This window comes from Homo sapiens, chromosome 6 (genome assembly GCF_000001405.40).
Source record: "Homo sapiens chromosome 6, GRCh38.p14 Primary Assembly".
In the NCBI taxonomy this organism is placed as follows: domain Eukaryota; kingdom Metazoa; phylum Chordata; class Mammalia; order Primates; family Hominidae; genus Homo; species Homo sapiens.
Genome location: NC_000006.12, coordinates 73,723,180 through 73,748,928, shown reverse-complemented (window position 1 = coordinate 73,748,928; position 25,749 = coordinate 73,723,180). Strand labels below are relative to the sequence as shown.

General features: G+C 40.4%; 1 protein-coding gene across 9 annotated transcripts in view; it reads right to left on the bottom strand.

Moving 5' to 3' along the window:
- The window catches only part of CD109 (CD109 molecule), a 149,122-nt gene that overhangs the window by 79,385 nt on the left and 43,988 nt on the right, over window positions 1-25,749 (bottom strand). For 6 of the 9 annotated variants that reach the window (XM_047418211.1, XM_047418212.1, NM_133493.5 and 3 more), the window contains 3 exons: window positions 25,650-25,678; window positions 18,355-18,585; window positions 12,421-12,546 (listed from right to left, as the gene is read on the bottom strand). In XM_047418211.1, the coding sequence (XP_047274167.1) occupies window positions 12,421-12,546; window positions 18,355-18,585; window positions 25,650-25,678 (386 nt within the window). Of the gene's footprint in view, window positions 1-12,420; window positions 12,547-18,354; window positions 18,586-22,777; window positions 22,835-25,649; window positions 25,679-25,749 lie in introns of all 9 variants that reach the window. The other 3 variants (XM_047418215.1, XM_047418216.1, NM_001159588.3) reach the window with 2 other exon arrangements.

Genomic DNA, 25,749 nt, shown 5'->3' with positions numbered 1-25,749 from the left:
GGAAATATCATCCTGTAAAAGTGTCAGCTGATGTACACTGTCCTACTTAGAGGAATGACAGAGTCAATAGGGTTTGCAAAATGAGAGAAAATGTTTATTAACATTTACATCATCCTTTCCTTCCCTTTCCTGTTTAGAGTCTAAACACCTGTGGTCTAAACTGTAGTTGCAACATATTTCTCTATGGGGTTCAACCCAAACTCAGCATCAGAATCAGCTGTGGTGGGTTTAATAAATAGAGGTGTCCAGTTCCTACCCCAGAGCTACTGAATCAGAATTACCAGGGCTGAGGCCCAAACACAACAAATGCATTCATTCATCCATTCCTTCAAGAGATATTCATTGCGCCTGAGTGGCAGGTGTAATGGGAATACAACCCCGCATGGACCTTCTGATCTAGTGGAAAGAAGGATATTTATCAAATAACCACATATGTGAGTATGTATTACAAATTATGATAAAAGCTGTGAATTAACATTTACAGAGAGTTATGAAATCTGGAGATGAGATGGGAAAAACAGAGTCAGATCAGGTAAGACCCTGTGTAGGCCATGGTAAAACATCTGAATTTTGTTCTGAGGCCAGTGGAAAGTCTTTGGACAGTTTTAAGCTGGGGAATAACATGATCCAGCTAATGTTGAGATTATTTTTACTGCTGTGTAGATAATTGGTTGCAAAGGGGAAAAAAACCAAATGCAGAGAGATTAAGAGACACTGTAATATCTAGGAACAATATAATAGTGGCTTGGACAAAGGAGGGAGAGGTGGAAATAGAGAAGTAGGTGGATTTGAAATATATTTAAGGTTGAGGCAGGCAGATCACTTGAGCTAAGGAGTTAGAGACCAGCCTGGGCAACATGGTGAAACCCCATCTCTACAAAAAATACAAAAATTAGCCGGGCATGGTGGCACACGCCTGTACTCCCAGCTACTCGGGAGATGGAGGCAGGAAGATCACTTGAACTCGGGAGGTGGAGGTTGCAGTGAGCTGAGATTGCCTGGGTGACAGAGCAAGACTCTGTCTCAGGGTAGGAAAAAAAAAAAAGAAAGAAAGAAATATATTTATTTAAGGGAAAAAGCTGTGGGAATTGATGAAGGCCTGAATATGGGTGGTCAGGCAGCATGAGGTGTCAAGAACTCTAAGGTTACCAGCCTGCACAGCCGAATGGATAGAGAATTAAATAAGGTAGGAAATGCTGCAGAGGAGCCAGGTGTGGTGGGGAAAGATTGTTAAGAATGATACTGGACATGAAGAGTTTGGGGTGCTTTGAAACATCCAAATACAGATGTTGATAGTTTTAAAGGTAGATAGTTTTAAAGGTCTAGAACTCAGAGGTATAGGTTCTCTCAGAGAGGCCAATTTGAGAGTCATTGGTGTATAGATGGAAACTGAAACCATGCCTTCGGGTGAACTTCCCTAGAGTGAGAAATGAAAGAAACTTAAAACCAAACTTGCAATGTGCCAATATGTAATAGAGAGTAAATGACGAAAGTGACCAAGAAGAAGAATCCAAACAAGTAGAAAGAAATCTCAGTCAAACTGGAGTGAGTTGGGAAAATGGAGGCAGAGAGATCAGACATTTTTTTTTAGAAGACTGGCTAGAATGGGAATGTGAAGTCACTGAAGAGGAAGTAGAGTTAAAGTACAGTACTTCTCTATATTTTTTGTTTTTTCAATGAGAAAGAATTAAACATATTAGATTTTATAAAAAGATCTAAGACAGAAAGAGATCCAGTTTGAAGACTGAGAAGAAAGAGACTGTCAACACTGCAAGTTTTCTGACAAAGTAGAGGAAGAAAGAAGCCAAGGCAGAAATCGGGATATTGGTCTTAGATGTGAAGAATAGGACCTTTCCTCTAAAAAGAAGAGAATAAGCATGAGATGGGCACAGGCAACACATGCAAATCTGGCAGAAAAAGTGAAAGAAATTCCCATCTGATGACTGTGTTCTCTGTGAAGTGGAAAGGAAGATAATCTACTGAGTGTGAGGAGGGAGGAATCAGAACCTCCCCAGGAGACAGTTTTGTTCCTGGATCCCTTCTCTCATTAGAAAGGATTACAAATATTCTGGTTCTTATCAAGGCTGGAACTAAACACCTGAAGAACTGAAGCTGGTCTATACCTGACAGTCACTCATAGTGACAGGACTTGGGAATAATGGATCTAACCAATGACCAAGACATAGACCATACAAGCCTCCAGTTAGCAGAATAGTGGCCAGGTATCCAGGGATCACAAGCACATTCATACTCCTAAAACAGTGTTACCATCTGCAGTACAAATACATTATGCAGTACAAGGGACAAACTTGTTTCCTTGGTGTTGAAAAAAAAAAAGTACTAACTAGAAACATATTCTCTTTAAAAACAAACAATAAACAAAAATCACCCATTTAACCCTCTCTGTTCCTACTCAAAGTAGAAGGAACTATGGTTTTTAAAGACATGTAACATGACCACCTTTCTTGGGCACCTATCTCAAGCAAGGGAGCAAAAGCAGCAGCATAGCTACAGGTTTGTACTGAATAGGAAAGTTACCCTTGAGGGAAAATAACTCCATTTCTTGCTCTTTCTCCCTTTCCTCACTCCACCCAGGGACTTGGTACTCATTTCAGTGCCCCCTTCCCCCTCACCCAGGGCTGCCACCACTGGTCAGAGCCCAGTGAGTTATCATTTTCCAAAACTCCCTCTATGCCACTGAAAATAAAGCATCATACAGAACCATACACACATACCACACAAACGTCAAATTCTTGCTTTTTATATTGTACTATAATAACATAAGATATAACCACTGGGTGCACTGCGTTAAGATAATATAGGGCCGCTTTGTGCTATCTTCGCAACTTTCTGTGAATCTACCTAAAGGTAAACAGTTATTTTTAAAATTAATCTTCTTGGCTGAGCACAGTGGCTTATGCCTATAATCCCAGCCCTTTGGAAGGCAGAGGCAGGCGGATCACTTGAGGTCAGAAGTTCAAGACCAGCCTGGCCAATGTGGCGAAACCTTGTCTCTACTAAAAATACAAAAATTTAGCCAGGCGTGGTGGTGGATGCCTGTAATCCCAGTTACTCGGGAGGCTGAGGCAGGTGAATCGCTTGAACCTGGGAGGCGGAGGTTACAGTAAGCCAAGATTGTGCCACTGCACTCCAGCCTGGGTGACACAGCGAGACTCTGTCTCAAAAACAAACAACAAAAAATTAATCTTTGTAAGCCTCATATGACCAAGGTTATAGAGGCTGTGAGGTGACAGCAGCCTAATCCTTAATAGTATATTAATGGATATTAAATAGATGAACCAAGTAACCTACATGCTGGACTCAAATCTTCAATCTAAACACATGGCTGCTGTGGTCAGAATCTGGGACACGTTGGGAACAATCCAACGTGCAAACAAGGTGATCCCGTGGCATCCACAAGTCATATAAAAGAAGTAGGTATCTTCTCCACCAATGCATACAGCAAGCCCTGTTGACATCTAAATTCAACCTTAAAAGGAGGCCATATTAAAACAGCAATTGCTGGCCAGGCATGATGACTCATGCCTGTAATCCCAGCACTTTGGGAGGCCAGGGCGGGCGGATCACCTGAGGTCAAGAGTTCAAGACCAGCCTGGCCAACATGGTGAAACCCTGTCTCTACTAAAAATACAAAAATTAGCCAGGCCCATGGTGGCACATGCCTGTAAATCCCAGCTACTCAGGAGGCTAAGGCAGGAGAATCACTTGAACCTGGGAGGCAGAAGTTGCAGTAAGCTGAGACAGCACCACTGCACTCCAGCCTGGGTGACAGAGCAAGACTCTGTCTCAAAAATAAATAAATAAATAAAACAGCAATTGCTGCACATATTAAATAATTTAATTTTACAGAACTGAAAGTATGAGTAAACTAGTTGCTAGTCCTGACCCTCCCACAACACACTGTGTGAGCCTAACCAGGTCACGTCACTTATCTCAGATTCTTCCTCCATAAAGTGGGGAGATGGATCTAGGCGACCTCTAAGATCATCTATAGCACTGAGTCCCTATCCTATGTACTGATGATGCTACATACTCAGACCCTCCATTTCATTGATGAACACAACATCCTAAAGTCTGGCCCCAAAGTTTTCTAACTGATGCCAAAAACATGTCTCTTCAGAGAGGGGTACAGAAGACACATTTGAAAGGAGGGGTCCTCCTAGGGTGGCTTCTGTAGAGAAAGAACAAAACAAAGAACTCCTCATGAAAATTTGCATATGGGGCCTAGAAATTAAAATGCACACTGCCAAAGGACTGGCACTAGCAGATCAAATGGCTGAATAAAGACACAAGAATAATATGGCACCAAAATTATAAGTCTATTTTAGACTTTATAACAAACTAGAATATTCAGCTCTTGCCTGAGATTTTTTTTAATTTTCAAAATGAGAAAGTCCAGGGCATTAATCCAAAAGTCCTGTTTTCCATTAGCTCACAGGTTCATCAAATACAGCAACCATATATATTCTCAAAATGAAAATATACAAAGATATTTCTACTAAGTTGCAAGATGATATAGCAGAGTGAGACTAGAAGTCAAAGAACATCACAAAGGATAATAACAGCAATCATCTAGAAGAAGCTCTATTCACTCATTCTTTCATCCCACAAGCATGAATGAGTTCCCATAACAGGTCAGATATTATATTAGACAGAACAAATATGAAAATTAATAAAATAGAATTCCTGTCTTCAAGGAGTTCACAGTTTAAGAAATGAGGCAGACATTTTTTTAAATATCTGAAGATAATAATAGGTTCTGGAGATGGATGGTGGCAGATGGTTGCACCACAATGTGAATGCACCTGATGCTACTTAACTTTTAAATTGTTAAAATGGTAAATTTTACATATATATCTTACCACAGTTTTTAAAAAACGAAAATAACGCTACACTGATTAATAAATGCTATTCTAGAGGTGTTTATCGGGGCCTTTGGAAGAATGGAGGAGAAAGTGCTGAGCTCTGCCAGATAATGCTCTAAGAAATCAATATTCTAAAACCATCTCCTCCCTCCCTTTCTCACTGAACAAGGAAGTAAGAGTTTGAGATCCTTCCCAAACAAAGCATTCTTCTTATAAGCAAAGACTAGTGAAAGTATTTTGGAAGCCACAACCACATTTCAGAGAGAATGCCACTGTTTTCTGACCTGTCAAAGTTTTGCTCCATGCTTTCTGTTAAGTTGTCGTCACAAGCCAGGCGGGTTAAGCAGATGCTCCTGGTAGAGTGCTTTAGGGACAAGAACTGTCCAAACAAAGATGTGCTCTTTTGCAAAAGAAAAACGGCTCCAGAGATACTTAACAGAAGCAGCAAGCTGACCCAGGCAGAGGCTGGACAACAAGTCCAGAAAAAATAAGGAATATCCTGAAAGGTTATAAAAAGCAGTAAGGTGTTGGCAACCCTCACCTAATCTAGAAAAAACAAGTAACTCAAGAGAAACTAGATATAACTGTTAGATGCAAAGAAATAACTCAATGCAGATTGCTTCTGAGTTACATAATAATTTGATAACCCGTTTCATTATACAGGGCTCCAGAAGAGTGACTTCAAGCCTTAACCCTGTTGAGTTTTCTGCTTGCTATTTCTTGTTCCCCACCTCTAACAATGGCTTAAGATTGAGACAACGGTTACGAAATTGTAGTTAGTGACAGATAGAAAAGATGATTATCAAGTTCAGTGGTTCCCAAGCTGGCTGTGCATCTGAAGCATCAGAGAAGCTGTTGTAAAGGATATACATTGTCCCAGAAATTCTGACTTAGTATGTCTAAGGTGCTGGGGAGCTCTACTGAGCTGATTACCTAAAAAGGTAAAGTAAATAGCAGAAAGTAGCACTGCTGAGGAATTCAAAGAATAAATCAGATGGCCTGTCCCCAGTTCCATACCTTGTTGACTGCCCAACACTGCCCAACACTGCCTCTCAATGGAAAAGATGGATTCTAAAGATGCCTAGCTGCGGGCATTTATGAGCACTTCTCAAAATGTGGTTCAAAAAACTAGTAGAATTTCCTTGAGTGCTTATTTAAAATTCAAACTCCTAGCTCCCATGCCAAAATTAGTAAATTGTGATCTGGGGGTGGGACCTGGACTATGCATCTTTAAACAAGCTCCCAGTCCATTGATTCTGTGGCACACTGATGTTTCAGAACCAGCTGCAGCCTCAGGTGGCCATTATGGTAAACTCAAATGCCTAAGCCACTCTAGAAAGAAGAAGAGACTTCCATCTGACAATGAGGAAAGACAGCACAGGGCTGCCGTCATCAAATGACCAGGAATCTCTCAGTGACTCAGGCTCTTCTTTCGGGCTCTTGGAGGAACATGAGCACCAGTGCGTGGGTCACGCAAAGACCTGGAGCTCTGGGCTGCAGGCTGCACTGCTCTGGCCAGATGCCTCCTGGCTCCCAGAAGCCTGGTTCTCAGACACCAACATTAGCCTTTCTTTTAAAGAACCCCTAAAATCACCTTCTAATAACCTCGAATATAATTTTTAAATCATAGATGCAAAAACATTCGCAACCAAATGTGGTATATTCACACAATGGAATATTATTCAGCCTTTAAAAGAGAGAAAATTCTGATATATGCTACAACATGGGTGAGCCATAATAACATTATGCTAAGAGAAAAAAGCCAGTCTCAAAAAGAGATCCTGTATGATTCTGCTGATATAAGACTAATCAACACCACAGAGATAGAATGTACAGTGGCTGCCAGGGGCTGGGGGGTGGGAGGGAATGGAGAGTTATTGTTTAATAGGTGTAGATTTTCAGTTTTGCAAGATGAAAAGAGTTACAGAGATGGATGGTGGTGATGAATGCACAACAATATTAATGTACTTAATACCACTGAACTGTACACTTAAAAATGGTTACAATGGCAAATTTTACGTTATGTGTATTTTACTACAGAAAATAAAAAATGGAGGGAAAAACCATTTGCAGGCCAGGCACAGTGGCTCATGCCTGTAATCCTAGCACTTTGGAAACCCAAGGCAAGTGAATCACCTGAGGTCAGGAGTTCGAGCCCAGCCTGACCAACATGGTGAAACCCCATCTCTACTAAAAATACAAAAATTAGCTGAACATGATGGTGCACACCTGTAATCCCAGCTACTCAGGAGGCTGAGGCAGGAAAATCACTTCAACCTGGGAGGTGGAGGTTGCAATGAGCTGAGATTGCACACTGCACTCCAGACTGGTCAACAGAGTGAGACTCTTTCTCAAAAAACAAAACAAAACAAAACAAAAAAACCATGTGCAATTATTTGAGAAAACTGTCAACACCAATCAAGAGATAACATACCTAGAGATAAGGTACCTAGAGAACTATATTGCAAAGAAATGAAAATAAAGGAATGTCTAACTTTTAAAACACATTATCTTCCTAAGGTGTATTTTCAAGTCAATTATTAAATCAGAACATATTCCCACACTCAACTTATAATGTACCTAAAGTATAACGGCCCTATAAAACACACTTCTATGAAAAGATGTTACAGCTAAAATATACCTCTGCCCTCTGAGAGGAGGGCTTGGTGCTCTAGACAAAGAAATGATGAAAAAGAGCAGGGCAATCAAAGTATGGCAGAAGTAGAAGACTTGGTCACATTCTCAAGAGAAGAAGTACAATCCCCAAAGTAGCAAAGAACTATTCACACTAGAATATGTGTGTCAATTAAGCACACGTATAAGTAGCACAAAAAGAGCCAGGGCTCTTACTAAACTTTACTGATTTTAAGAGGTCTTAAACATTATAATCATCAAGAGTTTCTTTGCAATTTGATTAAACTAGCATTGTAAAAAAAAAAAAAGTCTATGTATATATTGAGAACTTATGATGTCCCACCATCATATGCTGAACAATGACAGAGATAAAACATAAGATGGAAAACCAAGGTGGCAGGGTAGAGAGAACCTTGGATTTGGTGTCAAAAGGCCTGAGTTCTAATCCTAGTTTGGTAAGTTGTGGGACATTGGGCAAATCACTTAACTAATCCCCCAAAACATTTGTTTCCTTTCTTGGCCAGGCACAGTGGCTCATGCCTGTAATCCCAGCACTTTGGGAGGCCGAGTAGGGTGCATCACTTGAGGTCTGGAGTTCAAGACCACCCTGGCCAACATGATGAAACCGTCTCTACTAAAAATACAAAAATTAGCTGGGCATGGTGGTGCATGCCTGTAATCCCAGCTACTCAGGAGGCTGAGGCAGGAGAATCGCTTGAACCTGGGATGTGGAGGTTTCAGTGAGCCGAGATCACACCACGGCCTGGGCAAAAGAGCGAGACTCTGTCTCGAAAAAAAAAAAAAAGAAAGAAAGAAAAGAAAACTAGAAATCATACTAGACCAAAATAATTACTCACCATTACTATCATAAAAAACCTTGAAGGTGAAAAGCAATACAATACTTGAAGGGCAAACAATTTAGATTAATCCAGAAAGGTTAACACGGTATCATAAAGGACTTATTCACTCTTACTCTACAAACAAACATGTTATTAATACAAGTGGAGAAATGCCAAGGAGCCGTCAAGTATGTTTTACTTAAAGGATCCTTTTCCTGACCTAGGACAAAGGGTAACTGAAGAATACCACTTTCTGATTACCTGTATAGTCATTACAAATCAAAGCTCTGATAACTCCGGTAATTCTTAAAGAGATTGTCCATCAGTGGGAATACTCATATCATTCCATATTTTTTCTACAGACAAAATGGAATTTCAAAACTCTCCCAAAGGCTGTGTATGATGGCTCACACATGTAATCCCAGCACTTTGTGAGGCCAAGGCAGAAGGATTGCTTGAGTCCAGGAGCTCAAGATCAGCCTGGGCAACATAACAAGACCCTGTCTCTATGAAAAGGAAAAAAAAATTTTTTAACTAGGCAGGCGTAGTGGCACATACCTGTAGTCCCTGCTACTCAGGAGGCTGAGGCAGGAGGATCACTTGAGCCCAGGAGTTCGAGGCTGCAGTGAACTATGATTGTGCCACTTCACTCTAGCCTGAGTGACAGACGACAACCCTGTCTCTTACAAATTAAAAAATTTAAAAAATACTTCCTTTTTTTTTAGCCAGAGTATCACTCTGTCGCCCAGGCTGGAGAGCGGTGGCATGATCTTGGCTCACTGCAAGCTCCGCCTCCCAGGTTCACGCCATTCTCCTGCCTCAGCCTCCCGAGTAGCTGGGACTACAGGCGCCCGCCACCACACCCAGCTAATTTTTCGTATTTTTAGTAGAGACGGGGTTTCACTGTATTAGCCAAGATGGTCTCGGTCTCCTGACCTCGTGATCCGCCCGCCTCGGCTTCCCAAAGTGCTGGGATTACAGGTGTGAGCCACCACGCCCAGCCAATACTTTCTTGAAAATAAATATTTTCCTTCCCTGAGTTTTATATTGAGAATGGTGACTGCCACCGAAAAGTAAAAATATAGTCTCTAATGGTGGGCTATTTAAATAATAAATACATTTCCTCTATGTTATTATTCACTACTAAAAGAAAAGGGGTTTAATAACAAGAAATATACAGTCCTTTAATGCTGCGCAGTAGTCAAAGAAAAACAAAAGCCAGAGACCAAGGCCACAGTTGCTTCTCATAACATTTCCTTGGTTATACTGACCCCTGGTGGTTCTAAAAGGGCTCTTTTTTTTAAGGGGCTTATTTTTTCTTAGCTGAATGCCTCAAATTAACATACCTCAAATGACAAGTACCTGATCAGTATACTTGTCTTCAAAAAGATAAAGATGCTTTATAGAATATACAAAAGGGAAAATTGCATTTGGTTCAAGACAAATTATTGCTATATAGTTTTCACACATTCGTTTTAAGAAAATACTGCTTTCTACTTACATGCAAAAGCACTGAACTTGGTCCCAGGAATAGAGAGGTGAGCAAGACCAGAAGGTCACCAGCTTTACAAAGGCTACTGTCTATCATGGACCACTAATTAAAAGTGAGATGAATGAATTAAGGGAAGCACACAGTACTATGGGAATGTCTGGAACAGCCAGGCCACTTTAGAGAATGGCTGCAGGTTAAAAGCAAGTAGCGAGAATAAGGAAGAAAAAACATTCTCAGCAGAGGGAACAGCATGATGAAAGGCTCTAGAATGAGACAGATCGGTGAGTTTAAGAAACTTAAGGGACATAAGATGTCTAAAGCATAGAGTTCAAGAGGAAGGGCGGCACTTTACAAGACTGAAAAGTTGGGCAAGGGCCAGATCCTGCAAATGCTTTTCATTTTTTAAGCACCTAAATTTCCTTAAGAGCATTTGTTTTCTATAAAAGCAATATGACAAGCCAAGTCCACAAACCACAACATGATAAATCCTATAAATCTTTCAAAGTATAATCTCACATCTTCTGCAAAGTCTCCCTCTGCTATTCTATCCCCCTCTCTTCTGGTACTTATTCTGTCCACCATTCAATGAACAAATTAATCCCTCAGCGCCTGTTATCCAGCTAAAACTGCTCTTGCTGGTCATTGTGCATAGGTGGCATCTGAATGGACCAAAAATGGACACCTTGACCCAGGGCGGCCCACCCACAGGCTGCCAGCCACCTGTGCAGAGGCTTGCTTTAAAGATTCTGGGCATGATGGTTATTTAGCTAAGCTAATGGAATCAGAAGAACTGAAGAACACCTCAAAGGTTGGCAGAAGAGTGAAAGGAGAACAGAGCAGACCATGGGAGACAGAAGGAGCAGCTGGCCCCAAAACATCAGTGCTTGTGCTAACAATAAACCCTCTTTATCACCAAGCTGGACTGAACACCTTACAATTCCTCTGCTATTGCACTGCCCTGTGTTTGTCTGTCCCCCTTATGTCATTTAATTTTTATCATATTGTTCATGTCACCATGACAATGACCTTTGAAAATGGAGGTCATATGTTTACCTTCTTTGTATTCATCACAGCCATAAAGTCCTTAACACATACTGGGTTGGTGGGTGGGTGGGTGGATAGAAGGATCGATGGATGGATGGACCAAAAAAAGTGATTCTTAAGAATTTAAGTGGGAACTGAAAATAATATTCAAACTACTTTAAACTCACAACGTGCTTCCTAATCTACACCGCCATCATTCTCCACATGCTCCAGTAACATCAACTTCTCCCAAATCCCCAGACACATAACGTTCTCTTCCATTTTCCCTACTCCCACACAAATTTTTCCCTATTTTCTAAGTTTCACAAATGCCTACTCTTTCCACTTTCTCTACAAGCTCAGATATAAAGAATTCCACTTCCCCTAGAACTCATCACATCCTGCTCTAGGCTGCCATTTATAACAGTGGTTATTATTACACTGTTATAAGTAAGGAAATAAGCAAAGACCTCACTGAAAATTGTCCATGACTTTAATGGTTATGCATTACATTGTTCTCTAACAGTATGAGCCCCTTTCATAATATTGCCTCAAATGTTCTTTAAAACCACATCATACATTCATTCGGTAGAGCTTCTGCTACCTTAAAAAGAATAATATTGGTAAACACATCATACAAACACCCATAAAGATGCAGGGTGGCCATGAAGCAAATATTGAGAGTCCATTGTGCCTCCAGCACTGTTCTCATTCATACAGGTCAATTCACACACGAGTCCCACCTACTCAAGGCTCAGCAACAATGCTTAGAATAAGCTACAATTTCATGCATTTCATATTACATATCTTCCCCTTTAGATACAGAAAAAGTTGATTATATCTTATATGTTTATATGTCACATAAATATAGAAAAATATAAAGGTTTACATGTTATATACTAAATGACCAATTTATATCACATAAAACAGTTAAGTCTCATTGCTTTTTAAAATTGTTTCCATCCCATTGTGTTTATGTCTCATTCATTCCAATGAATGCCCCCCATTTAGATTTATATGCCATTTAATGCCCTCCATTTAGATTTCAGAGCTATACAAGTTGGCAGCAAGTAAAGGCAATAGGTGTAGAAGCTAGGGAAAAAGGATTGGGGAATAGCAGTCGGTGTAGCTATTTAAGTCACTGTTTCTTAAAACAAAGATAAAAGTAGGTTAATCTAATCACTCATTAGGAGTCATTATTCTAAGGCATAAAATTTGCCAAATAATAGCTATGTGTTCATTACTTAGTTTTAAAATAATGCATGAAACAAATAAGTAAACATTGTGTACTAAAATGTCAAAATGTTTTAACCTTTAAACATCATATCATAGAAAAAGACAACAGTTATGAAAATTCTAATATGTTAGAATGAAAGCTAAATAAACCCTTGATAAACATCATAAATTAAAAATAAACCGTTTAAATTGTCTAAATGTTCACATTAATTTTTTTCTCTTCATTGTATAAATGACTTTGGAGATTTTCCCCCACCTGACCTAATTAAATCACTTTAACATTCCCCCCAAAAAATATATTTATACTCACATTCACTTGAACTTGAATAGACCAGTCACCAAGTATTGGATGGGAAGATAGCTGAAAAGTTTTGGAAATGACTCCAAGATCACTTTGTTGTGACAACCACTGTTGGATCAAATTTGATTTGGGGTCCTAAAATGAAAACCAGACATGTAAGTATGTAGAGGCTGCCCATGTGCATGTGTATCCTATCAGGTTAGGAATAATGCCTTGCAGCATTCCCACCCAGGTCCAGAACTTTACTCCAAAATACGGCACAAATATGGCTGGATGGCAGGATGTGAGGATGGAAAGAAGGAGACACATTAGAGATATATTAACCTAACAAAGTTAAAAGGTCTGGAAATGTGAGAGAGGAATCTAGGATGACTGCTGGAATGGCTTGGATGAATGCTGCATGAACATTTTGGAAAACGTAGGCTCTATATTTCTAAAGAAGACAAATCAAAGTTTATTCTTTTCTCATATTTCTCCCAAGTTCATCTTGATTCTGCTCCACCTTTTAATTCCTGGCACCCTATTTCCTTCTACATGAAACACTACAACATGTACGTCACCAAACCCCTGGTGGCGGCGGTGGTGGTAGTAGTGTTAAAAGAAAATTTAACTGTAGAGATAACAGGCCCCATTTATTAAAGGCCCAATATGTGTCAGGCACTCTGCCTTATCTCTAATCATTACAATTCTCCTTTAGGACATGGTTATCCTCACTTTATAGTTGAGAAAACTGATGCCTGGAGAGGGAGGTACGCATTCAAGTGACTGGCATGACTCAATATTACAGCACCAGTGCATGATGAAATTCAGAATCCAAACTCATGTCTGCCTTTTAACTCAACAAAAGCATATTAGAGAGATGTTTAATCACGGATATACATGGAAAACACTTCATTCTTCCTATAACCTCCCAAACAACAATCCCTTCATGCAACATTTATCCAAGCCATTCCAGCAGTCATCCTAGATTCCTCTCTCACATTTCCTGACATTTTAACTTTGTTAGGTTAATATATCTCTAATTTGTCTCCTTCTTTCCATCCTCACATCCAGCCACCATGTCCTATTTTCTAACTAATGCAACTAATCTTCCCCCTCTAGTCTTGCCCTCTACAATACATCTTCCCCACTGCCAACAGTGTGATCCATCTGAAACGCAAATCTGAGAATGAGTTACAGTGGTTGAAATACTTGGCACAGTCCCTGGCATATAAAAAGCAGTGGCTATACACTTTTTATAGTCCCTAATTATAGTATATGATGATTATACTAGACCACTAGGTACCCATGGCTTTTGTTTGCCTACAGGAAGTCTACACTCCTTTGCCTAGTTTACAAGGCCCTTACTAATACTACTCCATCTACATTTCTAGGCTCATCTTCCTCCAAACATACGGATTTGTTTGCAGTTTATTCCCAAAAAGCCCATGCATGTAGGTCTCTGCAACTGCTGCATGGAAATCCCTCCCTTCCTTGTCCACTGGTGAAATCAGTTTCAGTTTCTTGCCTCCTATACATGCCTCCAATAGGCAGAGGTGACTTCTTCCTGGAAAGTCCCTAGTATATCTGGAGTTTATCTCTCTTGAATACATATTTTTGTTAAAGGCAGTAAAATATGTTTATTTTACATATTTTATTTTGCCAAAAATCTATATTTTATTATTCCCAACTAGACTGTGACTGAGAGCAGGGGTTGAATATTTTCCCTTAGACTTATCCTCTAAACTTTGCCTAGAAGTAGTGAGTGGGGCCAGTTATTAGAACAGAAGAAACCTCTCTCCCAGAGTGGAGATATGACAGTTAGGGGTAAGTACAATGCTGAGAACTGTGCAGAAAGCAGTCTAATAAGCCAGAAACCAATTGTGAAAACCAGAGACCAAAAGCAAGTCAAGAACAAGCAGGTCACTGTATCCTTGGTAAACTCCTGGGCCAGGCATTGTAATGGGCAGTTGGCCCTACTGTGCCTGCCACAGCATGACGCATGGGAGGGCTATGAAGTTCAAAGGCTCAGGAACAAAGGAAGAAATACAAATAGCCAATAAATATATGCTGTCTAGTAATTAAGGAAATACAAATGAAAACAATATTGTGTTTCTTCTGTCAGTCTGACAAAGATAAAAATAATAATAACAATAATTCTTGGTGTTACCTGAAGTGTAGGAAAATGGAATGTCCATATTCTACTGAAACATTATGGTAGTGAGGGCATACATTTCTCCTGGACAATGAAGTCTGAACTGACCTCATTGATGGCTTTGTACCTGGGGGATCTGGAGGGTTGGGGGAGAATGAGATAATTCCTCTGCTTTCCCAAGCCTGTCTTGGACCTAGGTCTAACTGTTACCAATAAGGCAGAGGGAGAGAATGCAGAAACACCAGAAGTCTACAAGACACATCAGGATTTGAACCAGCCAAGCATGGTGATGTCACAGCGGAGCCCAGCATTTGCATGCGGCCATCTGCTGCTACGACACAGCCATGTACAGTATGAGCAATACCCCCGTCACAGCCAGAAAAGCTGCAGGCCAGAGATCCTGGAATAGTGGCCCCACATGCCCTTCGAGTCACCTTTAGATCGCTCTGGATCTCTGAGATGCCTCAACACAGCACACAGTACCTGATTGTCTCAAGCAGTAAGCTCCCTGGCTGGAGAATATGTCTGTGAGGACTATTTCTGGATTATGTGTGAATAACATGTCTGTCCAGCCTGTAGAATTAGAGAATTCAAATCACTCAAATAAGGTAGCTTCTTCACCTGGCCAGCGGTCAGGTTCTGAGTTAGCCACCACTGCTCCAAAACTGAGTGTCAGGGCACAATAACAGGATATACCCCCAAGCCAATAACACCTGTTCCCCTACAAGATCATTCACCCGTACTAGCACCAACAACTTCTGGATGGAGAGGTCAGAGCAGAAGCCAGCCATGCCAGCTGCCATCGCAGTGTCAGAGGCACTCAATTCCATTGTGTCAGGCCAAATTGGCTAGAGGAGGCCAGAAGCGTGGGAGACATAGGTTATGTTTTTTCTACTGCCAAAAGGCCTCGAAGCTCCTTTCCCTCCTGAGAAGACCAGTTATTGGGGCATGCAAAATGAATAACACCCAAAGATGGCCTGCAGTCCCCAAGAACAACAATGAACACCCTGAAGGTGCTGTGACAGTCAGTATCTTAGCTACATCCTGCAGCCATTTCTAGCTGGGCAAGATGGGCCCCGTTAACTCTCAGGTGCACTTCTCCACATCAGCCTGCAGGTGGTGCTGTGCCAAGGAGTACAACTGTCTCAGTCAGGGGCTCCAGTTCAGGCTAAGTCCCAATTTGTTCTGAAAAGTTTTGCCAAGACACCAATTATTCCACACTGAAAGATGTAGAAAATATCATAGACTTGTAAACCTGGCCCAAATGTCTGTTTTCAGCTGAAAGAGTTCACATTACTGCTCCCACCTGGCCTCTGCAAGTTACAAGGAGGAAGGCAGCTAGACCTAAGTCCACATTTGAGCATCACTTCCCAGGTACAGAGACAGGAGCATGGCCACCCCTCACTCATAGTTCCAAAACACTTTGGGTTCCAGGTAGAATTTTAGTTTAAACTCCCCTCCCCTGGCCAAGAGAGTCATATCAGTACCAGAGCTAATAAGAGGAAAGTCTCTCTGAGCCCTTTCCAGAAAGCCAAACGTGGTCTGCTAAGTCCCAAACTGCACAGAAGAGCCCAAAGAATCTGCAAATCAAAGATTCAAAGGAAGATACTAGAGCAGAGTAGACAGGCAGAACTATGAAAATGCACAGACTAATTATCCAGAACCAGCAGGGTTAGTTCTGGGTTGATGTCTAGAACAGGCAATTTATGCAGTGCTAACTTTTATTTGCCTGCAGTAGAAGGAAGCATTGAATGTAAACACCCAGAGATAGCCAGACATTTATTAAACCATCTATTGTACACATCCTTTCTGACATACAGTAAGCTCTCCATATATGTGGATAAATGATGAAAGATGGTATGAATGGAGTCAGTTCAACTCTGCTCAGGGGGGTGACATGAATTTAGAAATACTATTCACTATGTCAACCTGCTTTATAAACATTCCATTACATACCAAAGGCAAACTCTGAAATAATGCTAGTTCAATTCAAGCAATATGCATTGAACACCATGGCAACAAATGTGATACTGGCTACAAATATATCTTGGCTCAAAGTTAAATGTATACATGTTTATTTGATTGGGTTTTGTTGTTTTAATTTATAACAACAAATAAACTAAGAATAGGAAGATACCAAACTAAAAGGCCTACTTTACCTTCCACACTATGTTATTCATTAGAATATCTGGAGTAACCAATGTCCTGAGACTAAGGAGGTTCCCAGGACCAGAGACTTTTCAGTTTTAAAATCAGAGGCATCCCAGGCAGACTGGGATGTTAGTCACCCTATTTCCAAGTAATGATCAAATGTCCAGTGTTCTTCTCCGTTTAAATACAGAAAACCAGGCCCAGCTGGATCTCAGTTGTCTTCAACTTGATTCTCACAGGAAAGCACTCAGTGTGCTAACCACAGTGCCTCCAAATCATCAGAGTATTAAGCAGCAGAGACAAAACTACTACCTTTCAAAAGGGGTTCCTAAAATAATAATAATGGCTAACGTTTAGTGAGCATGTACTATGTGCCAGACACAGTTCTAAATGGTTTACTTGAATTATCTCACTTAAGCCTCATAAAAACCTTTTGAGGTTTTATTATTACATATTTTCTAGATAAGGAAACTGAGGTTCTAGAAGGTTAATAAATTTACCCAGGATCACACAGCTAGCATCTAGCATCTATTCTTCTTAGAGCTGACAGTGATCCTTTTAAGATGTTAAGTTAGATTACATCAAGTCTTGCCTCAGAATTCTCCAGTGAATTCTCACTTCACTTAGCATAAGTTTCAAAGTCCCTATCATGGCCAATAAGGCCCTGCATGAGCCCCACCCTAACCCACCTACTTGTATAGGACCTCATGTCCTAGCACCTGTCCCCTCGCCCCGGGGCTCCAGCACACTGCCAGCTTGTTGTTCCTCCAATGCGCCAAACAAGCTCCCCCTCAGGGCCTTTCCATGTGCTTCCCCCTCTGTATGGGCTTATTTTCTTTTACTGCCTTTGGCTCTCTGCTCAAATCAGTCTTCCCAGACAACCCTAGAGAAAGCAACAAACATGCTGGGCGCAGTGGCTCACGCCTATAATCCCAGCATCTTTGGGAGGCTGAGGTGGGTGGATCACGAGGTCAGCCTGACCAACATGGTGAAACCCCGTCTCTACTAAAAATTCAAATTTAGGCAGACGTGGTGGCACATGCCTATAATCCCAGCTACTCAGGAGGCTGAGGCAGGAGAATCGCTTGAACCAAGGAGGCGGAGGTTGCAGTGAGCCAAGATCGTGCCATTGCACTCCAGCCTGGGCAACAAGAGTGAAACTCCATCTCAAAAAAAAAAAAGAAAGAAAGAAAATAGCAAACACAAACTCTCTGTCTCTCACTCCCTTTTTCTCTCTCATACACACACACAAATACATACATATCTGTCCCTTTATAAATATATATTTGTATGTTTATTTATTATGTCTGTCTCCTACTACCCACTGAAAAATAAACTCAGTGTCAGCAGGGACTTAATCTCTTCTGTTCACTGCCCTATCGCTGTGCCTGGAACACAGAAGTTTAATAAATGTTTGACAACTGTATAAATCAATGAAGACCCCAGGCCTGGAACTCAAGCAGGTTGACTCTAGAGGCTGAGCTCTTAACCCAGTGCATGCACCACCTTCTTTCCTATTAGAGGAGTTCCATGTTGGGAGGGAAGCTTATCTTAGGTGAATTCTAAAATATTCCAGTGTCAGTAACACAAGCAGAACTTCCCAGAGGGGTTTAGTAAGATGGCTAGAATTCCTTGCTTCATTTCTGTCTGGCACTTACCTTAATGAGAATGTTTAAAGAGGTTTTGTAAGGCTTAAAATCTGAGAAGAGTGTAACAATGCGAAACTTCACTTCTTGCTTTGGCTTGTATAAGGCCTTGTCTGTTTGAATGAAGACAGATATTCTCTTGGTCTCAAATGATAAGCGGGTACTATTAGAGAATAAAATCTCATCCTGGGTACGTCCGGTTACACGTAGCTCATAAATCTCATCTGCACTGTTCAGAGGTAGCTGGGGGGAAAAAGAGATCACACATCAAGGTCTCATTATTTTACCTCAAAAATGTTTTAATTGCAAGTTAGAATAAAAAAAGTAAATACACAGTATTATCAAAAGTAACTGCGATGTTGAAAATTTGCCCCTCCCAGGCATCAGAGTTAATTTGTTTTCCCTCTTTTAACTTCCTGCAGTTTGCTCTCCAGTTACATCACAGGGCTCCTGGAATGGGGGACACATAGCCCACTGCTCTCCCTCAGCAGGAGTCACCTTGCCATTTCCTATTCCAAGTGCAAATTCATCCTCCCTAACAGTTATTGCAGGTCAGAATATCTAACATCCTTCAACCTTCTTTTCCACGCTCACCCTATTTGAGGCAGTCAGCTGATGAAAGGCTCTTCTGCACAAAATTTGTTTCTTGCTATATTCTCTCAACCTGTTTTCTGAGATGCATTCTCCTAATGCATCTTGCGCATATGTGTCATAGTCTTGGTAGGGATGATGATGCTGCTACTTCTACTACTACTATTAATAACAGAAATCCTTCCCAGGCACGTTAACTCACACCTGTAATCCCAGCACTTTGGGAGACCAAGGCAGGCAGATCACCTGAGGTCAGGAGTTTGAGACCAGCCTGGCCAACATGGTGAAACCCCATCTCTACTAAAACTACAAAAATCACCCAGGTGTGGTGGCATGCGCCTGTAGTCCCAGCTACTCCGGGAGGCTGAGGCAGGAGAATCGCTTGAACATGGAGGTTGCAGTGAGCCGAGATCGTGCCACTGCACTCCAGCCTGGGCAACAGAGCGAGAATTTGTCTCAAAATAATAATAATAATAATAATAATAATAATAATAATAATAATAACAATAGAAGTCCTACCTTCTAGCATTAGCAGACCAGAGCCATACTGAGCAGTTTACCTGCACTATATCATTTTAATTCACAACAATCCCTCAGGTGGATATTCTTATTAAAATCATTTCAGACACACACACTACACACACACACACACACACACACTTTGATGTGGTAATTTTAAAATATGTCCAAAAATTCTCTGACTTTAGTCCCTTCAAAAGGTGAAGCCTAATTCCCCAGACTTAGTGATTTCCTTCCAAATCCTAGAATTAGGCTATGTCAGAAAAAGAATACCTTCTTCCCTGTTGTCTCTCTTTCTCGCTTGGATCACTCACTCTGGAGGAAGCCAGAGTGGTGTGGTAAGGACACTAAAGAAGTCTGTGGAGAGGCCCACATTGGGAGGAACCAGGGCCTCCCACCAACCACCAACAACCACGTGTCAGCCTAGTGAATGAGCTGCCTCACAGAATGTGTTAGCCCTGATGAAGCCTTCAGATGACTGCAGCCCTAGCTGATATCTTGATTGCAACCTCGTGAGACTCCAAATCAGAAATGCCCAACCATATTGTTCCCAATTCTTCACCCACAAAGACTGTGAGAAGTAATAAAAGTTTAATTTATTATTGTTTGAAGCAAAGTTTTAGAGTTACTTAGCAATAGATAACTAGCATGCTTGACTTTTAGTTGATTTTCATATTAAAACTGAGGTCCCGAAACTATATCCTGACTCATTTTTGCAAATAAGTTTTGTCTACAGATAGCTCAAAGGGGATTTTCCAATAATAGCAGACATCAGAATGCTATCAATGTGGTTAAGAATATGAAGAAAGTGCAAGAAACCACTGTCAACAATAAAATGGTCAGCAGCAATATTTAGGGAGAAGAGTATTGATGTCTGCAATTTACTTGGAAATACATTTAAAAATAAGATGAACTAATGGATGGATAGAAAGATGGGTAGATGGATAGATGTATGATAGAGCAAGTATAGTAAAATGTTAATGGTAGACCCTAAGTGGCAAGTATAGGAGTGTTCATTATGAAACATTTTCAAGTTTTTTGTATATTTGAAAAGTTAATAATAAAATGTTAGGAAAAACAATCAGTATGTCACCTTCAAATGACTTCTGGTGTCAATTTTTGCTTTTATTCAATAAAGAAGTGTTTTGTTTTGTTTTGTTTTGTTTTGAGACGAACTCTTGCTCTGTTGCCCAGGCTGGAGTGCAGTGGCCCAATCTCAACCCCACCTCTTGGGTTCAAGCGATTCTCCTGCCTCAGCCTCCCAAGTAGCTGGGACTACAGGTGTGCGCCACCATGCCTAGCTAATTTTTGTATTTTTAGTAGAGAAAAGGTTTTACCATGTTGGCCAGGCTGGTTTCGAATTCCTGAACTCAAGTGATCCACCCACCTCGGCCTCCCAAAGTGATGGGATTATACATGTGAGCCACTGCGCCCAGCCTAAAGAAGTATTTATTGAGCACCCTTTGTGTACCAGGACGCCCTAGGTACTTGGGATACAACATGAACCAAAGACCTGTGCCCTGGTAGAGCAGAGTCTAGCCTGGAACTTGCAATCTTAAATTCTATTTTCTCAAGTGATACTTCAGTCCTCAGACTCTTTGAATCAGATTTCCTAATACTATAAACAAGAAAATATATACACCAGGAACCAGAATATTATATGCTTATAAATGGCATCGATTTCTAAATATTTCATGTTTAAAAATATATTTGATGGGATTGCTCTTCCTGATTTGATATGTTTATCATTTTTAGTGGCACAGAGGCCCCAGAACAGATGCTAGATTGAAGACTGATGTCAAATTAATGACACAGAGGCCTAGAGCTAAAGAAGCCTATTAACCACAAGCAGCCTAAAGGGTCAGAGAATTAAAATAAATGCAAATATGCCCGAAAACATTTTATTCTACCTCCTACTCTATCCTCCTTCAGGGAGCTGACACTGACTCAGGGGAAACATTACTGACTATCTTCCTGTTCCTTTGGGTTACCTTAACTAATTTGCTTTTTTAACTTTTCCCCGTTAAAAACCCCACCTTGCCATATATAAAATTTAGGTAATTTGGGATCCTCAAAGACTCAGTGTTAGTCCCAGGGCAAGCCACCCAGAGATGACAATATGGGCCTTGGTGAATCATTAGACCTGGGTGCCTGTATGAAGCATGGGGCATCACCACATGTCTCGGGGTGTCACCACGTACTCTGGGTGGTGCTCCAGAGTCTTGTGGTGTCAATGCAGACCTCGGTGCTCCATGGTTAACAATGGGGGCGCATAATGAGACTGAAGAAAAGATTATTGACTTTAAGCAATTTTTATAAAAGTTTCTCTCTCTGTGCCAGATCTGGAGTGGGTTATAACCTGCCCACAGCAGAGTGGACACTATGAGGTAACAGAAGCTCCTGCATCTTTACTGGTAAATTGCCTTCTGCCGTCTTGGGGCCACAGTTACTGAAAAAGGTTCCCGAAATTGGTGGGGGAAAGGGGGAAAAAAAGCTGTTCCTTGATAAGTGACTTCCATGGCTCTTAAACAGGAGTCAATTATTTACCCACAGAGATTTTGGACTCCTTGACCAGAGGGCACAGGGCTGGAGGAAGGTGCAGTTCCCACAGTGAGAGGCTGTCTGAAAGCAGGACAAGAGTCTGGGAATTGACAATATCCCAAAGCTTTGACCAACAGAATATCAATCAGCCTCTGGATTGGCTATGTTGACTCTCACTTAGGCACATCTATTTCGTGTATACATAAATGCAAACTCTCTGAGGAGATGATAGCTCTCTGCCTAGGATACATAAGGTAAGCACATTCAAAAACATTCTTGCTAGACAATAAATAAGGATTACTTATTCTAATCTGGGCTGTCTAAAGCCATTTCACCTTCTCTGAAAGATTCACTGCTGTAAGGAAACTGAGACAACACAATAGTATTTATCCTCATATACTTCAGGAATAATGCCAGTTACCAAACATAACGGAGACAATTTTTCAAAATAAAATTGAGAAATCTAAGATGATAGTTTCCATTAAAAATATATTAGTAATTATACTTACACATTAAAAACATTTCTAATCAAATAAAACCACTCCTTCATTTGACAAAGAGAACAAAAGAAGTTTTTCTGCCATATTGTGTACAAAACAATATTTATATTGTCTCAATTTATGTTTTTTATTTACTTCATATTGGGGGTTATTTTAGTGTCTTGAAGTACAATGAGTAAATCAGAAATAAAAAACACATTTGTGTTAACACATTCTTGAAATATTTATATTTTACACTAAAAAGCCATAAAGACCTGAAAAATAATTTAAAATATTACACTTACAAGTGTCAGAATGCAAGTGCACTTTAAAAGGTGGTTCTATTCACAGGTATGTTCTCACTGGGGAAAAAGAAAGTTGGTTCTGCTTTAATTGAAAACTCATTAAAATGCAGAGCCTTCTTTTTTTGTCAAGCATTATCAAATTTGTCCATACACTTTATTTCTAAGTCTTTCATACTGTGCTTTACTAAAAAGAGATACACTCCAAAATATAATCTCTAATAAAGCTTTCAATAGATAATAGCTATATTTATATACAATTGAAATGACATAATATTAAAGACAAATACTGGATGTCAGAGTTAGTATTTCATATACTTAAGACTTAAAAGAAGTATAGTAGGCTGGGCGCAGTGGCTTGCGCCTGTAATCCCAGGACTTTGGGAGGCCGAGGCAGGCGGATTACTTGAGGTTGGAAGTTCAAGACCAGCCAGACCAACATGGCGAAACTCTGTCCCTACTAAAAATACAAAAAAAAATTAGCTGGGCATGGTGGTGCATGCCTGTAATCCCAGCTACTCGGGAGGCTGAGGCAGGAGAATCTCTTGAATCCGGGAAACGGAGGTTGCAGTGAGCCGAGATCGCGCCACTGCTCTCCAGCCTGGGCAACAAGAGAGAAACTCTGTCTCAAAAAAAAAAAAAAAAAAAAAGAAGTGTAGTAGACAAATTTCTAGTTAATATTAGCTCAGACACGTACAGTTTATACTAGTATCATTGAAAGAAACTCTCATGCCCTTGCCCCGCCTTCTCCTTTCAGCCTTTCTACACTTCCGGTATGTGAAACTGCAAACTCCTTTGAGGAAACCAGACAATTATTGTGCTTTAGGCTGTGATTCCTGAGCTTAAACCCCACCCTCCTTCTGCTATAGGGCAAATATACGACACAGGATTTATTTTCATCTTACCACTGGAATACCCTTTCAACAAAGTTCTGCGCCCAGGCACTGGGGCCAGTATCTAATGTTTTAGGTTATTTTAATGCAATCTAATGTTTTATTGCCACAAAGATTGCAGGGTTTTTTTCCCCCACTTCTGCCTGCTTATGCCTTTTTTCTTCCACTTTCTATTATTAGCAGCAGTATATTTCTTAGGAAAGAAAGTACAAATATAATATGTAACAAACAGAATAGATATAGCATACTAAGTAATTTTTATAAAGTATTGTTTGAGAGTATAATATTCTCTATGAACCCCCCAAAATAAATGTGGTTTCTGAATGTACTTGACAAGTAACTTTCAAAAGGTACTAAGTGGGCCAGGCATGGTGGTTCACTCCTGTAATCCCAGCACTTTGGGGGACCAAGGCAGGAGGGATGCTTGGGCCCAGGAGTTTGAGACAAGCCTGGGCAACATAGGGAAACCTGTTTCTACAAAAAATAAAAAATCAGCCAGGCATGGTGGCACATGCCAGTAGTCGGGAGGCTGAGGTGAGAAGATTGCTTGAACCTGGGAGATTGAGGCTGCAGTGAGCCATGATTGTGCCACTGAACTCCAGCCCGGGCAACAGACCAAGACCTGTCTCAAAAAAAAAAAAAAAAAAATTTAAGGTAATGAGCGAACCTGGCTTATGAGGTAATGCTGATACTAATCAGGTATACAGTGTGTCAGGGCCTAAGTCATTAGTCCTCTGTTCTCAGAAAAGTACATATATCAAACTGCACCTGATGTTGGATGCTGTGGTTTACTATACTGTACATTAAGCATGTAAAGCCCCAAAACAAAGCATAGTAATGAAAGTATAAACTTCCAAATCAAAGCTATAGGAAGATTCATCCACAAACATTTAATAATAAGGTTTTATGAATCTCTCAACAAAATAATAACTCCTTTCCATTTCTATAGCAAGTGCTACAACACTTCCACATCTCATTTCACTCCAGGACATGCTGTGAGATAAAGATGGTATCTTCATTCTCTTTTCCAAGGCCAGGGCTATGGTGAGGTGAGTGAGGCACTTGTCTAAGGTGCAAAATTTAAGGGGGTACCAAAAAATTTAGCAATCAAGAAAATAATATTTTAATACAATATTTTAAAATATCAAAATTAATGCAAAAAATTATAAACAAAGAAGTCGAAGTTTTAAACAAAGACAGGGTCAATATTACTGATTTTTCCTTTTGCCTCAAGTTCTAGTATGTCTCAGCATGGCACTGCTCTTTTCAAGCACAAGGAAACTGAGGAGCAGAGTTCCACACTAGAAGGCTCATTACGACAGAAGCAGGAGCAAACCAGCCCAGATGCCTTGTTTTTTTTTAACTTTTATTTTAAGTTCAGGGGTACAAGTGCAGGTTTGTTACATAGGTAAACTTGTGTCATGGGGGTTGTCGCACAGATTATTTCATCACCCAGTTGCTAAACCTAGAACCCATTAGCTATTTTTCCTGCTCCTCTCCCTCCTCCCTCCCTCTACCCTCCAGTAGGCCCCAGTGTGTGTTGTTCCCCTCTATGTGTCCATGTGTTCTCATCATTCAGCTCCCACTTATAAGTGAGAACATGTGGTGTTTAGTTTTCTGTTCCTATTTTAGTTTGCTAAAGATAATGGCCTCCAGCTCCATCCATGTTCCTGCAAAGGACATGGTCTCGTTCCTTTTTATGACCAGTCCAGATTTCTGTGCTAATAGTCCAGGCCAGTTTCCTTCAGTGAAGTCTTCTATTTTACAAGAGGAAAATCTCTGCCAAGAGTTTGAAGAGCCTCATAATCAATCTCCTTGAAATAATATTATTCATAAATAATCTGAAGGCTGAACTAAACTCAAGCCAAACTTACATGAAACGTGAAATGTGTGAATTGACATAAAATCCAATAAAATATTAATTTATTTAGTTCACTGATACAATATATTTCTGAAACCAAATTTTTTAAATGGATACTTACTGATGGAAGAGTAAGTGTCTTAAAAGAGCCTACAAGGAAAACAGGAAAGAAAACAGAGTTAGCACAATTTGAATATGATGATAGAATACAAACCTTCCAA